Source organism: Homo sapiens, chromosome 2, assembly GCF_000001405.40.
Source record: "Homo sapiens chromosome 2, GRCh38.p14 Primary Assembly".
Classification (NCBI taxonomy): Eukaryota; Metazoa; Chordata; class Mammalia; order Primates; family Hominidae; genus Homo; species Homo sapiens.
In genome coordinates this window covers 166,223,511-166,241,208 of record NC_000002.12, presented here as the reverse complement: position 1 = coordinate 166,241,208, position 17,698 = coordinate 166,223,511, and the positions used below count along the sequence as shown (strand labels likewise).

General features: G+C 34.3%; 1 protein-coding gene and 1 long non-coding RNA gene across 8 annotated transcripts in view; one reads left to right on the top strand and one right to left on the bottom strand.

Moving 5' to 3' along the window:
• Nucleotides 1–17,698, bottom strand: part of SCN1A-AS1 (SCN1A and SCN9A antisense RNA 1) — a 220,254-nt gene that overhangs the window by 60,576 nt on the left and 141,980 nt on the right. The window lies entirely within an intron of this gene.
• Nucleotides 1–17,698, top strand: part of SCN9A (sodium voltage-gated channel alpha subunit 9) — a 180,803-nt gene that overhangs the window by 134,779 nt on the left and 28,326 nt on the right. For all 7 annotated transcript variants that reach the window (XM_011511618.3, XM_011511617.3, XM_011511619.3 and 4 more), the window contains 5 exons: nucleotides 2,942–3,115; nucleotides 7,747–7,869; nucleotides 12,237–12,518; nucleotides 13,486–13,539; nucleotides 14,505–14,642. In XM_011511618.3, coding sequence (XP_011509920.1) covers nucleotides 2,942–3,115; nucleotides 7,747–7,869; nucleotides 12,237–12,518; nucleotides 13,486–13,539; nucleotides 14,505–14,642 — 771 coding nt within the window. The remainder of the gene's footprint in view (nucleotides 1–2,941; nucleotides 3,116–7,746; nucleotides 7,870–12,236; nucleotides 12,519–13,485; nucleotides 13,540–14,504; nucleotides 14,643–17,698) is intronic.

Genomic DNA, 17,698 nt, shown 5'->3' with positions numbered 1-17,698 from the left:
AAAAATAGAATACTCAAGAACTTTGTAACTTGCCTCATAGACAGTCTTCATGAGTTTGGACTTTGATTTTACTGTACTTATATGCTAATAGGTTGATCTGATACTGTTTCATGGATGCTGGCAGAAGATATGAGGTGCTTGGGTCAGAGATAAAGGACTTTGTTACTTATGTGTGGAAAGTAGCATGAGTTTCAACATGTTTCTGTTGGTTCCCCCTTTACCCAGGTCTCATGGGGGCATTATATGAGCCTGAATGAGTGTGTACACATATAGTGGATTGATGTCACAGCTGAGGAACACTGAGCTTAGGGAATGCATCCTTTTATACCAAGCAACATAAGCAACCCTGCTCTTTGTCCCAGAGACCCTACCTCATGTCTCAAGGTTGCTCACTGCAAACACAACCCTGAGGAATGTCCTAGGTAAGGAGCAGGCAGAGCCTGGCATTCTTGGCACACTCCCCAACAACCTGCAGGGACCCACTGTGGCTTTCCTTTCCTATCAAGTCTCAACTCTCAGAAACAGAAAATGTGATCAGAAAAGCTCTATTTTCCTTACCTGGAGTCATCCAAGTAGAAATCATGATAGTGTCTACCATGCAATGTATTCCTAGTAACTAAGGAGGTTTATCCCATGCTGACTCACATATGTGACTGAGAATTTCAGAGAGGAGATTACAAAAAAATTAAAGTTTGGAGTAATTCCTTGTTCAAAATGTCTAAAACAGAGGAAGACATTTGGGGAGGGCATTCTCAAAAGTGTATTTTAAATAAATCATATGAGGAAGAAAAGGGAAAGATATTTCAAGAAGCTGGTGTTTGTACTTAGACAGGTTGCCAATTAAACTAGATTTTTTAAAAGTATAGCAAACCCCCATGACACGTGTTTACCTATGTAACAAACCTTCACATGTACCCTCAAACCTAAAATAAAAGTTAAAAAGAAGTAATAGCTCTCATTTAGCTTATACTTATTGTGTTTCAGAATCTTCTTTTAGATTTTCTCATTTAATTTTCAAACAACCCTGTGAGATTATGATATTTTGCTTATTTTACCAATGATGAAGCTGGGTACAGTTTTAAAAGTTGCTTAATGTCCCAAAGCTAGTAAATGACAGAGCTATCACTGAATTGACATCTAAAATCAAAGTCACCATATCTTTTCACTGTGTTGTGGCTCCTCAGAAAGAAGAGTATACACAAAACAGAAATAAATGAGTGGTAACTGAATTTAGTAACAGTAAAGCGTTAAGTCCTAAATCAGATAGAGCTCACATAAGGTCATTCTTGCCTCCTTGCTCCTACATCCACAAAATTGGTTCTGGAAGCTAGAACCCCTGTGGGCTGAATTCTAATTCCTGCTCTGGGACCAGTCAGAGAGAGGTTCTCATCATCAAGACTTCCTGCGGCTCTGCTCTGACCCTGTACACCAGTTCTAGAAACAGGCTTCGTTTTCCTTGTGACTAAGCCCCTTCCTTGTCTTTGTATTTCAAGGACTGAGTCATTGCCATAGTTTCGGTTTAGATGGCTTGCCTGATTCCTCCAGAATTTGGGGGTGGAGTGGAGGGGAGGAAAATCCTGAGGGCTAGAAGCCTCCCTCTGCACTTCAATTCCATTGAATTTCAGAACCTCTGCCAACTGCTGGGACCTTCTTTTTGCATCTTAGTAGGTCCATTCAGTCTTTCTGCCCCAACTTGTCTCTTTTCTTCAATATTGATACCAACAGTTTCCCAAAACTGCTAAGGATAATTTTAGAGTATTGAAAGCAGAACGTAGAATAAGAAGAATCTGAATGGCACAAGTTCATGACTGTAGACAGGTAATAAATATAATATTAACCACGAAGGATACAGGTCTTTGACTTTCATTTTATCCAACAGGGTTAATAGTGTTTCGATCTGAAAGAGAAAGTTCTAACACTTTAGACCTGTTGAGATCAGCAATCATTTTCAGTGTCTCAATGAGCCTTTTTTTTTTTTTTTTTTTTGAGACAGAGTCTTGCTCTGTTGCCCAGGCTGGAGTGCAGTGGCGTGATCTTGGCTCACTGCAACAATGAGCCCAATTTTTCAGTCCTTTCAAATTCTTTGTCAAGGGACATGTGGCTGAAGTCTAAAGTCAAAGTCACCCTGTCCTTTCACTGTGTTGTGGCTCCTCAGACAGAAGAGCATACACAAAATAGGAGTAAATGAGTGATAACCAAAATTAGTAACAGTAAAGCGTAAGCCCTACATTAGATAGAGCTCACCTAATGTTGTCACATAATGTTGTGTGTCACTTACTAAAATTTCTTGGAAAGCATAGGAAGCACCGCATTAATGGAGAGAATAGAACAGTGATTTTTAGAGCTGAAGCTTTGAAGGATAATATATGGATGAATAGTCAAAGGAAAAAGCACCCTCTGTGTTCTATAGGCCTATTAAGCTACTGCAGTCATTCATTTAGCAAATCTTTCCTTTCCTGCTGCTGTTATTAACATGGTACTAGGCACTGGGATGCACAAGCATTTGAGAGCTGAAAGACAGGCTCCACATCCTACTGGTGGGGAAAAAGGGGAGTGTAGGATGTGAAAAGTTTATAACAGTGGCTGGCCATGGGATCATGTCTTAAATTGCTAGGACTTATCCAATTTTAATGGAGAAAGAGGAGGAATCAGATGGAGGTGGAAATGATCAGGTGTCAGAGATCATGAGTCTTTTTGTGGATTATAAGTAATTTCATTCTTTTGCACTTTCTCTTGACCTCTGAAGACCAGCAGCAGCACTGGTGAGAAGGCTAGAACTAACTGTTATATGATAACTGTAAACCAGAAAAAATGTCAGCTGGCCCATGTCAATATTATGTTTCAGCAGTCTTAGCATTAGAATTGTATTTTTCCTGTTTTTTTTAAATGAATCATGAAGCTTAAGTTGTGCATGATTGAAACTTGAATATTATTTCCACAGGCTTTTGAAGATATTTATATTGAAAGGAAAAAGACCATTAAGATTATCCTGGAGTATGCAGACAAGATCTTCACTTACATCTTCATTCTGGAAATGCTTCTAAAATGGATAGCATATGGTTATAAAACATATTTCACCAATGCCTGGTGTTGGCTGGATTTCCTAATTGTTGATGTAGGTACTTTTGAGTACATTTTAAAAGAGGATTTATTCTTACTGTGTGTTGTGAAAAAACCTTCACCACTATTGCATATTATCATATTTTAATTTTGTTAAGCTTCATATATTTTCAGGCTATAGGTTTATTCTTTTAGAAATATTAACACAGCCAGTGGAAATATATCTGTGAGGAATATTAGAACAGAAATCGTTCAACAAATGTAAATTATTTCTGTGACATTGTAACATTTATAATTGAGTTTTTTATGTTTTCTGCAAAGGAGATGTGATTTTTTAAAAAATATGATTTGAATGTCATTCTTGTTAAGAATAAAACAAAATTTAGAAGTAGGAGATGATAAAAGGGCAGAGACACAGATTAAAGAGAGGAAATGATGATTATTCATAATGTAAAATTGGAAGATAAGAGAGGATGAGGGGCACATCAAGTTGGCTGATATGTGAGCTAAAATTTTTCTAAAAATCATTATACAAATACAAAGTTAACTTTGTATTTGGGGAGAGAGAAGTCATGAAATTTTAAAATATCTATCTCAGACCCAATTATAGGAAAAACCAAAATGAGACACAATTGTCTCTATCTCAAATATGCGACTTGCCCTTCATCTCCAGAATGGCAGTGGGGCAGAGGAGTAGGCATTATTATTAATGTAATAATTTTAGATAATAAATTCAAAGAACTGTTGAATACTTGGATGATGGAAAATACATAATAATTCTTTAGTTTACATATTATTTTAACGAAGTAGAAATATTTTTACAGGCTTCTGATTGAGATAGAGAAGAAATCTTAAAATAGTCGGTGAGATCAAGGACTCTCAAATAGAAACTAACGGTACAATACCCATTATTATCATTTCATTGAATGTACTCTAATTATTTTATATTTTAATAATATAACTTAATAATATATATGACATATTTTGTATTAATTAAAATGGCTTTCTTACATTATTTTATAACCTCAATCTCCCAGTCTTATTTTTCTCAGAATGATATGTTCTTTATCTTTTACTAATTCTTCTAGATTTTCAGAAACCTAACCTTTGTGTTTAGGGAAGAAACATCCTATAATCAGTCATAGTTTTTAGAGATTTGTTTTCCATATGATGCCTGACATAATTAGAGGTCAACACGCAAATTTGTATATGCCAATAAGTGCTTTAAAATTTAACCAAGGGTTTGCATTATCGAGCTTTTAAGAAAAGTTGAATTCATACAGCATCATATGTGGATTAGAAAATCACAAGTAAGCATGATCATACATAGTAAAATCTGACTGCAAAATGTTACCAAATTAGTCATATTTACTCAAAAGTTCAATTTCTCAACTGTTATTCAAAGCTTCATAAACTTTTGGCTTCTGGCCAGGCGCGGTAGCTCACGCCTGTAATCCCAGCACTTTGAGAGTCCGAGGCAGGTGGATCACCTGAGGTCAGGAGTTTGAGACCAGCCTGGCCAACATGGTGAAACCCCGTCTCTACTAAAAAATACAAAAAATTAGCCAGACATGGTGGCAGGTGCCTGTAATCCCAGCTACTCAGGAGGCTGAGGCAGAAGAATCGCTTGAACCCGGTAGGCAGAGGTTTCAGTGAGTCGAGATCGTGCCACTGCACTCCAGCTTGGGCGACAGGGTGAGACTCCATCTCAAAAAAAATAATAATAATTTTCGTTTTCTTAATCACACAACATATTAAATGTTAAAAACAATAACTTTTTTCTATAATATGTAATGTGAAAAAATTTTTAACATAGCTATATATTACACCTTATATGTGTTATCTTAGGTTTCCTCTATGAGAATTCTAACTTCGGATATAGTAATGATTTCTTGCTATTTTTCAATTAATCATTCATATATCAAGTTATCTAGTTACTGCCTAAAAAATGAAAAATGATAAAATGGGTATTTTTGTAATATAGTAGTTTTGAAGAAAGGCTGCCCCAAATAAGAAGAAATTATAGAAGGAATGTAGATTTTCTTTTCTCTTAAACTGTAAATATGACGGGGTCTCTCTCTTAAAAAATTATACAATATTTTAGATATTTTAAAATCTTTAAAATATTATCACAAATACACTCATTTTCATCATTCAGTGTAAGAAATGAAGGTTTACAAGTAAAATTGAACTTATTTTAAATTAAGAGATATGGCTGTTTAATAATGGAAATTGTTTTATTTGAAAATTTAAAGTGATGATTCTCAGTGAGTATAACCTCCTGTTCAGGGGTATGTAATGTGCAGAAATCAGGGAGATAAACAACTCCAATTTGAAATATTATTTAATATTTTGGAAACGAACAAATATAATGCAAAGCACAGAGAGTAAAGCTCCACACAATATTCTTGCTGACAGAGATGCAAATTTTGGGACACAGATTTGGGGGAGTGGCTGATTTTTTTTTTTTCTGAAAAGTATAGAAACTTATCTACAGCAGTTGTTCTTGAAGGATGGTCTCAAAACTGAAAACGTTGGCACATGTAGGTGAGAACTCATAAGAGATGCAAATTCTGCCCCCAACCCCAAGACATACTGAATCAGAAACTCTGGGGTTGGATGTGGCAAATCATTGTAACAAGCCCTACAGATGATTCTGTTGTATATTCAGATTTCAGAACTACTTATATTATTTGCTACTCAGAGAATGGACTTGTCTGATTTCTGCAGGCTTCTGGGTTATTTGAAACTTACTTGATTAAACAGTGTTCTTCAGTACAGGCGTATATTTGTATATATACGTGTGTGTTTATAGAAAGATGTGAATATATATGCATATATATTCTCAGTTACAAACTATACCATAGTCTTAATAATATGCATATATTCCGTGTCATAAAACTCACTTAACAGTGGCTTGGAGAACAGACCTATTAGTATTTTAGGGGCTGTATCAATTATAACAGACATGTCTTAGTCTACCTTTTATTGCTGTAACTGAATACCTGAGACTGGTTAAAGTATTCAATAAAGAAATTTATTTCTTAAAGTTCTGGAAGCTGGGAAGTCTAAGGTGAAGGGTCCACATCTGGTGGGAACTTTCTTGCTGGTGGGCACACCAGAGAGTCCCAAGGCAGCTCATGGCATCACATGGCGAGGGGTGTTCACTGAGAGCCAAACTGGGTTTTATAATAAACCCACTCTTGTGATATCTAACTCACTCCCATGATAACCCATTAAGCCCTTACTCTATATTCCATTCATGAAGGCAGAACCTTCATGACCTCATCACCTTTTAAAGGCTCTGCCTCTTAATACTGTTACATTGGGAATTAAGTTCCAACATGAGTTTCAAAAGGGACAAACATTCAAACCACAGCAAAACATTAAAAAAAAAATTTTCTGATTAAAGAGGGAGCATACATATTTTCAAGTGTTCTTAAGTGGAAAATAATGGATGTGAATGACTGGGCAAATTTAAGAGTGGCATGAGGAGTAATTTATTCTGCTAAATACGTAGCTTTAGGAATTTAAAAAAAAAAGCCATGTTACATTTAGTGAGACATCTGGAAATACTACATGAGGATGAGCACTTTAAAACACTTCCCGCTTCATCAGTCAGTTTACCTGTCTCTGATGGTAACAGCAATGAACTTTTTGTGAACAATGACTTTTTCTACGCCTGAAATAGATAAATATATAAAGTTGGCTCTCATCTGTTCCTATTCTTCCCTCGAAAAATTGAATCTCTCAGTCACTAACTTATTCGTAATGAAGAACTGCATTCCAGACATTTTTCTTAGACATCGTCTCCTGCTACACAGGATGTGAGGCAAATGAATATTTTCCATGGAACTAATTCAGAGAGTAAACATATTTATAGATCCAGATCTAAGGTCATGGAGGAGCTCATTGCTTTGTAACTAAAATGTGTATTGATTGTATTGCTGTTCATGTTCTTTCTTAAGATAATTTACGATAAGAACTCAAATTTCTTTTGGATACTGGTTATGGTAATTGTGGCTGATCTATCTAACATGATGAAGCTCTTATTATATCTATATTGATTGTGAAGCCAATGAGATCAGCTACTCTCATTCTCTCTTCAGTACAATTGTGATTTTTCTCCCATGAAAAACTATTTGGTAGATCTTTGGTGCTAATCTTTAGAAATTGTAGGGCAGAAGCAATCTTGTTGAGAATTTGCCCCAACTCAAAATCATGAGTCTTCAAAATGTTTTTTAATAAGATTTATACTAAGACATAGATTTAGTTGAGTGAATACCACACTTTTAGGGCTTAGCTTCAGAATCACACACTTCATTTTGACCTGAGTTTTATAATTAAAATGTTCACCATTGTTCTAATTAAATTTTTAGATTTAATAAGGAATTACAAAGCAATTGATTACAAAAGTGTGAAAAGCATATGCATGATTTCTATTCAAATAGAATAAACAACTTACTTTGCTTACATTATTTCTTCTTATTTTGGTTAACCTTCTTTTAAATCTATTTCCTTACAGAAACATCCATCTTACCCTATTTTTAGGCATTGACTACACAACTCCGTATATACCATCTTATTGTTCCTGTTGAGTTGCTTTTAGTGAGTTTCAGAATTGACTTTTTCCTTTTATGCTTCATCATTTTATTGACACAATTAATGAAAATGTTATTTTTATAGGTTTCTTTGGTTACTTTAGTGGCAAACACTCTTGGCTACTCAGATCTTGGCCCCATTAAATCCCTTCGGACACTGAGAGCTTTAAGACCTCTAAGAGCCTTATCTAGATTTGAAGGAATGAGGGTAAGAAAATACTAAACTTTATAATGTTCTTATTTTTTAATGGGGTTTAAAATATAAAAACAATGGGTATGTAGAAATTATGAGTTGTTTCTGTTTACATAAATACATAGGCTGTTTATGTATGTGTGTGTACATATACATATATACATATGCATATATGTATATATGCATATGTATACTATATAGTATGCATTTACATACTATATACAGTATGCATATATACTATATATAGTATGCATATATGGTATATATATGCATATTATATACACTAATAGTATATATATGCATATTACATATACTAATAGTATATATGCATATTATATATACTAATGGTATATATGCATACTAATATATAAATACTAATTATAGCATTAATTAAATAGTATATTACTAAAAATAGTATAATACTCATTAGTATATACTAGTATATTACTAAAAAAGTATAATACTAATTAGTATATACTATTATATATTAATATATACAGAATATGAAAGACTATATATAAAATATGCATATATAGTATAGTATATATATTATTTCATTTACTGTACATATTAGTATATATATGCATACTCTCTCTCTCTCTATATATATATATATATACACACACAGTATTTCAGTGCATATTGTTTAACAAGGGAATAAGTTAATCACAGTAATCCTGCCTTTATCTAATATTGTCAAACAATAGAATGATCCAAATGAGTGACTTTTTTCATATTAAATGGAAATCTTCCCTGTGCTAGGAAGTCCAAGTGAAAGGGGAAACTATTGTTCCTAACATCATCTCTCATACATAAGTAATCAAGGACCTACTTATATCAGGTGTTCAAATAATATTTGTTTAAGAAACTACCTGGGTAAGGAGCATTAGAAAAGATAGGTAAGTGAGACAGCATCAGCCATCACATTTAATTTCACCTTTAAAATAACATTGCAAAGTAAGTGGAATTATAACTAAATTATATTTGAGAAAACTAAAGCTCAGAGAGTTTACTTAATTTGCACTTAGGCTGCAGAGTGCCTGAAAAGATACTCAATTAGCAGAGACAAACAAGTTATAATGAATAACAACTACCATAACCTAGCTTTAAGGATTGTATTAAACCAGCAACTTTGTAACACACATGGAGGACAACAACTCTATTTTCTGTAATTAGTCCATATCCTCATGTGTTGGTACTCCTCTAAAATTTCTTCTCCAGATTTATACCTGCTATTTTATGCCTCTGTTCTGGAATGCTTCCCCTGCCCTGTCCCGACCCTAACCCGTTTGTATAGCAGACAAACACCTATCTGTCCTTTAAGGCTCAATTTAAAGTTGCCTTGTCCGTCCACCAGGAGACATAACTGGATATTCTCTCTCTGTTCAGACACCTAAAATCCTCATTATATTGTATTTTACTTATTTGTTTACTTAACTGCCTCCCTACCTTACCTTCTCTGAGCAATTTAACACGGAGATTAGTCCAGCTTACTGATACTTTAAGTGTGGTTTACTGACCAGCTATTAGCATTATCTACAAACTTATTAAAAAGACGGACGGATCATGAGGTCAGGAGTTCGAGACCAGCCTGGCCAATATGGTGAAACCCCATCTCTACTAAAAATGCAAAAAATTACCCGGGCATAGTGGTGCTCACCTGTAGTCTCAGCTACTAGGGAGGCTGAGGCAGAAGAATCGCTTGAACCCGGGAGGCAGAGGTTGCAGTGAGCCGAGATCATGCAACTGCACTCCAGCCTGGGGAACAGAGCAAGACTCTGTATCAAAAAAAAAAAAAAAAAAAAAGCAAATTCTTGGATCTCACCCCAGACCTACTGAGTCAGAAACTCCAGGATGGGGATAAGAAACTTGGGTTTTAACCAGCCTCAAGTGAACATTAGAGATCTTTCAGCCTACCAAATCTTCACTGTTATCCCTACAAACCTAATTATGACTGCAATCTCTGCTATTTTAATTATCCAGTGTATAACGGTTTCCAAGTATAAAAGAAAGATCATGATTATACAAAAAAGTTCATAAGCACAATTCAAAAATATTCTATCTACAAGTTGAAAATTACAAGTTTCATTTTGTGCAGAAAGGTGGTATTAGAATTCATTGACATTAACTTAATTTTTTGAGCATTAATAGAATGTTACAATCTATCACAACTTTCCCCTACAAAACCACTTCCTTCAGTGATTAAGCCAGCCCACTATTTAACTCTGTTTGCTCTTTGTTCTTTATCTGTATTACAGGTGAATTGGATGCAGGAGAATAGTTTAGTATATTTTGAGAGGCAAATGTCTATTTAGTTACATTTGTTAACCATGCAAAAAGAGACATTTATTCATGCCGCAGGGCTATTTTGAAGGATAAATGAAATAATGAAATAATGCATTTGAGGCATATTGTAGTCAGCTTGTTTGAGTCCTTAGGCTCTTTAGCTTTCCCAACTGGCTTCTCATCAGACCAATAGGTGCCTGTCTTTCTCAGAGACCCATGATTCCATCATTACTCACATTTTTTAGAAAAACATTTTAAACACCAACTATGTGTCAGGTGTTGTGATATAAAAAACACAGAGTACAGTGGTACATAGACCCCGGTCCCCAAAGAGTGAGTAGGGTCAATGGTTACAAGAGAGACAGACAAGGGCACATAATGATACAGGAATATACAGTAGGGAGTGGCTATCCGGGGAAGTCTGGGAAGACATCACAAGGAGGTGACATTTCAGACATTTCATGACTGAAGAGTAAGCCCCAAATCATAGGCAGATAGGCATTCAAGGCAGTGATACCACATGGTAGGGAGGCACAGAATAGATTGTGCAAGGTGTGCTTGGTCAGTGACTAGATGTATCAGAGTGCCTACGTGATAAACATAGTAGGGAGGGCAGCAGGAAATGAGCATGAAAAGGTAGGCTCTATTAAGAGCTGGCTACTTTGAACTTCATTCTCTATTCCTATTCCTCCTAATCTTTTTTGAGGTCACATAGACTGTAAGAATCTGATGAAAGTTAGAATTGTCTTTCCGGAAAGACAGCACAACCATAATGTTTGTTATATAATTTCATGCCCCCAGGAAACCTCTACAGGTCCATGAACTCCAAATAATCATTGCTCTGGACCAAAGGTCAACAAACCCCAGCCTGTTTTTGTAAAAATGTTCTTGGAACACAGCCATACCAGTTTGTTTATGTATGACCCATGACTACCATGGCAGAGTTGAATAGTTGCAACGGAGATATAACCCACAAAGCCTAAAAATATTTATAAAAATGTTTGCAAACCTTCTCCCTAGATGATCTGATTAGTAGTCAGAGATCCTTAGTATTTCTCTATTTTAAAGCATCTTGAGAACCTGCTTAATACATTGCAGAAAAGAAGGATCCCAGTGCTCCTTCCCTAACAGGTTAATCTTTAACACATTTGTACTTGAATGGGTGCTCAAGCTGAAGTGTAAGATGACAGGTAGGTTTTGAAAGATTAAGTAAATAAGAAAATCTGGAGAGTGTTAAATGCCACAGGAATTGCCCTGGATGAAAACTGGAGTGGCAAAGACAAACTGGTGATCAATAGCAGTACAAATGCTGAAAAGCAGAAATAAAGAAAGGATTAAAGAAAAACTGTTCCTAATTTTTGTCTTAACTGAGGCCAGCACTATATATATTTAGTCAAAGGCTTACATATAAAGTATTTAGAGTAATAATAATAAATTTAAAACGATTGCTCTTATTTCGTAGAACCAGCCAAATCTAAAGGATTTAAACCATTTAAAGATTCTCAATCCTTTTGTGGAGAATGTCTCAAAAAAAGAGAATAAGAAAAGAAAATAATTAAATTAAATTAAAATGATGTCCAGTCATAATTCCACCTACCTGATATACACCAATAGTTTCTCTATGGGGGAATCTTTAATGCTGGTAATAATAGGATCATGAACATTTAAATGTATATAAATATATATTTTTCATTTATGTTTATACATTTCTTTTTTTTCCAGAGTGTACAGATTTTACAAGTTTACCTTATCAATAACAGGTTTTGGTTTATTATTTTTATTTATTTTACATTTATTTAAGCTATTATATTATCTTAGTTATTTTGTCTTATATTTTGCTAACAATTTTATTGTGTGATAATCATGTAATTTGTAAGCCTGGTGATCACAGAGTTCATGTCTTATTTTGTCTTGCTTGGCACACTGCTGAGTGTAGAGTAGGCATTTAATAAACATGAGTCGGCTGGTTGGTTTGATGTCTTAGATATTTAAGGGCGGCTTTTCTAATTTATTTATGTCTGCATGGCATTTCTTTCATGTTGCCTATTTAACATCTTACTAATCCTAATCATGCTTTTCTTTCTTTTGAATACTAGGTCGTTGTGAATGCACTCATAGGAGCAATTCCTTCCATCATGAATGTGCTACTTGTGTGTCTTATATTCTGGCTGATATTCAGCATCATGGGAGTAAATTTGTTTGCTGGCAAGTTCTATGAGTGTATTAACACCACAGATGGGTCACGGTTTCCTGCAAGTCAAGTTCCAAATCGTTCCGAATGTTTTGCCCTTATGAATGTTAGTCAAAATGTGCGATGGAAAAACCTGAAAGTGAACTTTGATAATGTCGGACTTGGTTACCTATCTCTGCTTCAAGTTGTAAGTGTCCCATTTCATGAGTGCTTGGTATTTTAATAGATATTGGACGAAGGATATAAGTTATTCTTTAAATAGTATATTAATTATAAATTGAAGATAAAATACTGTGTGGTTTTTAAAACAGTGCCAGTCTTGGCCGGGCGCAGTGGCTCATGCCTGTAGTCTCTTCACTTTGGGAGGCCAAGGTGGGCAGATCATGAGGTCAGGAGTTCGAGACCAGTCTGGCCAACATAGTGAAACCCCATCTCTACTAAAAATACAAAAAAATTAGCTGGGTGTGGTGGCAGGCGCCTGTAATCCTAGCTGCTTGGGAGGCTGAGGCAGGAGAATCACGTGAACCTGGGAGGCGGAGGTTGCAGTGGGCCAAGATCGTGCCACTGCACTCCAGCCTGGGCTACAGAGCGAGACTCTTGTCTCAAAAAAAAAAAAAAAAAAAAAAAAAAGTGTTGGTCTTTCCTAGAACATGTTCCTACATGAATAAGAAGCATGGGTTCTGTTGCATTTGAGTTATTAATTTATAATTGACTCTTTGGTGTCATGTGGACTCCCATCTTGCACCATTCAAATATTGCTTCAAAAATGAACGTTTTTGAACTTCCTGCTTCACACTATGAAGGGATGAGAGGAACTTCCCACAGGCATGGAGAACCCTTTAAAAAATGGAGAAAAGATGTTTCCTGTCTTATTCATAAAATTTTCCTTCACCTTTAAAAAATAAAAGGTTATGTGCGAAATTCACAGGCAACTGTAACAATTTAGAAATAATTAACTGGGACTAAGATTTAGAATGTTACTTGGGAATATGTCCTTTTTAAAAAAATCTTTACATTAAATGGACATGTTGAATACAGCAAAACTTACTAGTATTACTTAATAATTGTGGTAACATTAAACAGACAAAACTCTGTTTATGGCTATTTTAGAATATGAGCTTAACATTCAAATTCTATTAATGTTATTCTTAAAGGCAACTTTTAAGGGATGGACGATTATTATGTATGCAGCAGTGGATTCTGTTAATGTAAGTATTGATTATCTTAGCACTAAACTTTATTTTTAAAAGCTTCTTAGTTTATTTCAGTGATTTCCAAACTATAACTTCATGAAGCCCTTGGGACTCACATAGACAATGAAGAACATCCACCTGATAGTAGCCTAGTGGTTGTGAGTACAGCAGTTGGAGATAGAGCCTGATTCAAATTCTAGCTGTACCATATCATCCAAGCTCTACAACTGACTTCGGGCAAATTACCTTACCTTCTTGAGACTTAGTTTATTTGTCTAATCTATAATTTAATGAATCTATCATTTGTCTAATAAATGTCTACAATCATCCAATGCCTACTCCATAGTGTTGTGAGGACCCAACAAGAAAATAGAAGCAGGGCACTTAGTGCAGGCTGGCATTACTAAATGCTCAGTAAATATGCGCTTATCAAAATAAAAATAAAATAATTTTAATGTATAGCTTTTACTGTTTTTACAGTTTAAAACACCTTGGATGAGTTTATGTGAAATAAGTTCCATGCTAAGAAACTTTAATGATTACTCCCTAGGTAATATTTTTACAAAATATAATAAAGATGTATTCGGAATCAAAAGAAAATACATGGCAAAATGTGTATAAATATGATAATGTCTCATTTACAGTACTTTTGGAAATAACATATACATAGTATGTCACTTAGTTATTGAATTTTCCTACCAATATGAGCACAAATATGCATATGATTAAGCCCTTTGTAGTTATTTGAAGATTATATTATTTATTACATAAGTATGTAATAAATTAAATAATAAGTATGTAATGAATACATGTTGAATAAATTGTTAAGAGTGATTATGTTAAACCTCAACAATGCTATGGCTTCTTAAATCCTATGTTTACCTAGGATAGCACTGTTTGAATTACCTGGTCAAACCATGTGAAAAAGAAAATAATGAATGTTACTGTCCATATAATGCTAACTTTTGTAAATTTTATAGGTAGACAAGCAGCCCAAATATGAATATAGCCTCTACATGTATATTTATTTTGTCGTCTTTATCATCTTTGGGTCATTCTTCACTTTGAACTTGTTCATTGGTGTCATCATAGATAATTTCAACCAACAGAAAAAGAAGATAAGTATTTCAAATATTTTTCATTGTAATGAAAGGGATGAACAATTATTTTCCAAAAAAGATAATGTAAAGTTTAATTTGATATCAATTCATGATTAATTTTATTAGAACTTCATTTATTTTTCAAATAATTGACTAGTATACAATTACAAATATGCTTAATCTTATTCATTTTTGCACAGAAAACAATTTTCTAAATAATAGGTTCTGGCTAACTTATGATTTAGGTTAAACCCATAGGTTTTGAGCAATATATCAACTATTCTGTTTTTTCCAATGTTTCCTATAGAGGATTGAATAATTAAGAAAAATCAATACACTATTTATTCAAAACACATTTTATAAGTAGTTATTTATTTTATTTTGTGTAATATATATTGGGTTGGAGCTTGGGGAGACCAACGTAAGATATGGTTCCTGAGCTCAAGGAGTTTATGTCATAGCAGAATAAATAACACAGGTAATGAAAATTAAGACTTGTTGAATACTGTAATTTGAGCAATCTTCTGAAATTTTTAATTAATTAATCTTCACATCAACTGTATTAGTTTCTTTGACCTACGAGAACAGGATAATACAAACCTGAGGGCTTAAAACAAGAGAAATATATTCTCTCACACTTTTGGAGGTTAGAAGTCCAAATTCAAAGTGTCAGCAGGTCCATGTTCTCTTTAAAGCCTCTAAGAAAATATATTTTATTGCCTCTTCCAGCTTCTGGTAGCCCAGGTGTTTCTTGGTTTATGGCAACAGAACTCCAATCTCTCCCATTATAGTGACATGCCATTTTCCCTCTGTGTGTCTTTCTCCTCTACTAGTAAGGATGCCAGTCACACTGGATTAAGAGCCCACTCCACTCCAGTATGACTTCATCTTAATTACATCTGCAATGACATTATTTTCAAATAAGGTCACATTCTGAAGTGCTAAGGGTTAGGACTTATATGTACCTTCTTAGGGCACACAATCCAACCCATAACATCAATCACAAAAGTATTATTACAGAGTCTCTTTCACAAATGAGGAAAGGCACACAGAGGTTAAGTGACTTACCCAAGGTCATATATCGAGTATGTGATGAAGGTTAGATAGAGTCAGTAGTAAATTCGATGTATCTTGTACTCTATTAAACTCTCTACTATGCTCTATCCCCAAATACTATAATCATGATAAATACAATAAGAAAAATTAACAAGCACAAAAAATATACATGACAGTCAGAGTAAAAATAGATGCTGCTATAGAATGGTTTATGAAATACGTGACAATTGAGAAGGCTTTGGAAGGTGGGAAAGAAGACATGTAGCAACGGAGAGGCAAAAGAATGGCTAACCCACATGGAGTGAAACAGAAATGAATGAGCAAATGAATTGTGTTGATAAAAGAGGCAGCAATTCAGGGGGGATAGCAATGCTTTCGGTTTTGAAGAAATTTAAGATTTGGAGAAATAGTAAAAGATGAGGTTTTAACCTGCCTGAGAGTAGATATAAAAAGCCGTATTAGACCTTTTTTAATAGCAGCTGGTGTTTCATTCATATATGTTGAGTAGGGAAGAATATGGAAGCAGGAGATTGATGTTTATTAAGACTCCATGATATGTCAGATCCTGTGTAAAATACTTCTAACATAATTGTAGTCAAATTTTACAACAAATCTAAAAGACATAGTATCCTCATTTAACCTCTCAGAAAAATTATCTTATTTGCACATGGCCTGACAGCTAAAAAGTAGTTTCATTATGGATCTAGCTCCAGAATTGCTTTTTCTAGAGACTGAGCTTTACAAAAAATTAATCTAGCAGTGATGCACAAAATGACTAGGGAAGGACCAAAGACTATTTCAGACCCTGCTTGACCTGCCACCTGGACCACACTAAGTCTCCAAATTAGTCCTGTGTGTCAATGGAGAATAGGAAATATGTTCCATTAAAACATTTTAGAGGGTAGAATCTACAGTATTGCTTGTGATTTGCAAGAGATAAAGGAGTCTAATTCTGGAGTTTCTTGTCAACTAACTGAGATACTCTGGTTGTGGTACCACCTATACAAAAAGAGATCTTTGGAGACTAAATGGTAGAATTACAAAAGAGAATAATAATTTTGGGTACTGGCTTAGCATCTAAGAAGACAGATGTACATGTACCAAAATGTCATTAGTGTGCATGATTGACTATTTGCAAGTAGACAAAAATTTAGTAAATATTGCATTATTTATCCTGACATTTACAAATACAGATGTTTATTTTTAAAGATTTTTAAATTTCATGTTCCATTTTACATTTATAAAGTGTACACTGATTTTCAATTTATTTTTCTCAACTTAAGCATTATATATACATACATGTAATATATAAGCACACACAAGTAATTCCTCAGTCTTCCCTGCATAGGATAAATTAAGCGTGTCTAGAAAGAGCAGTATGAGCATAAATAAAACAGCCAACATCCAATTGACTTTAATCTTCCTGCTTGTTAATGTTATTCTTACAACATTTCTACTGCAGGAAGTAAAATAGGATGGGTTGATACTATCACCACCAAAGTCAGGAAACAGTTACTGATTTAGAAGCATCAAAAACTCATATCCCCTATCATTCTTCCAGTATTTCATCTTGCAATCTAAGTATAGCTTTTATTTTCTGACCTTTTCTGAATGATTTAGAATTTCTTTCCACTCTTCCCTGAAAAAACATGACCAACACTTCAATTAGTTAACACATGCTATGTAGAAGTACGTAGTAGATGCTTTGTGATGAACTCATTTATTCCAAAGAAAAAAAACAAATGAAAGTGGTATCCTTTTCTTTGCCTTTCCTAATTTTAATTATTGTGGTAAGGAAACTTAATATGAGATCTACCTGCTTAACAAAATTTTTAAGTATACTATATATATTGTTAACTATAGTTACGAAGTACTACAGGAAGTCCCTAGAACTTATTCATCTTGCATAATTGAAACTTTATTCCCATTGAATAGCAATTCTCCATTCTCCCATCCTTTCATGCCCTGGCAATCACCATTCTTCTCTCTGTTTCCATGAGTTTGACCATTTTAGTTAC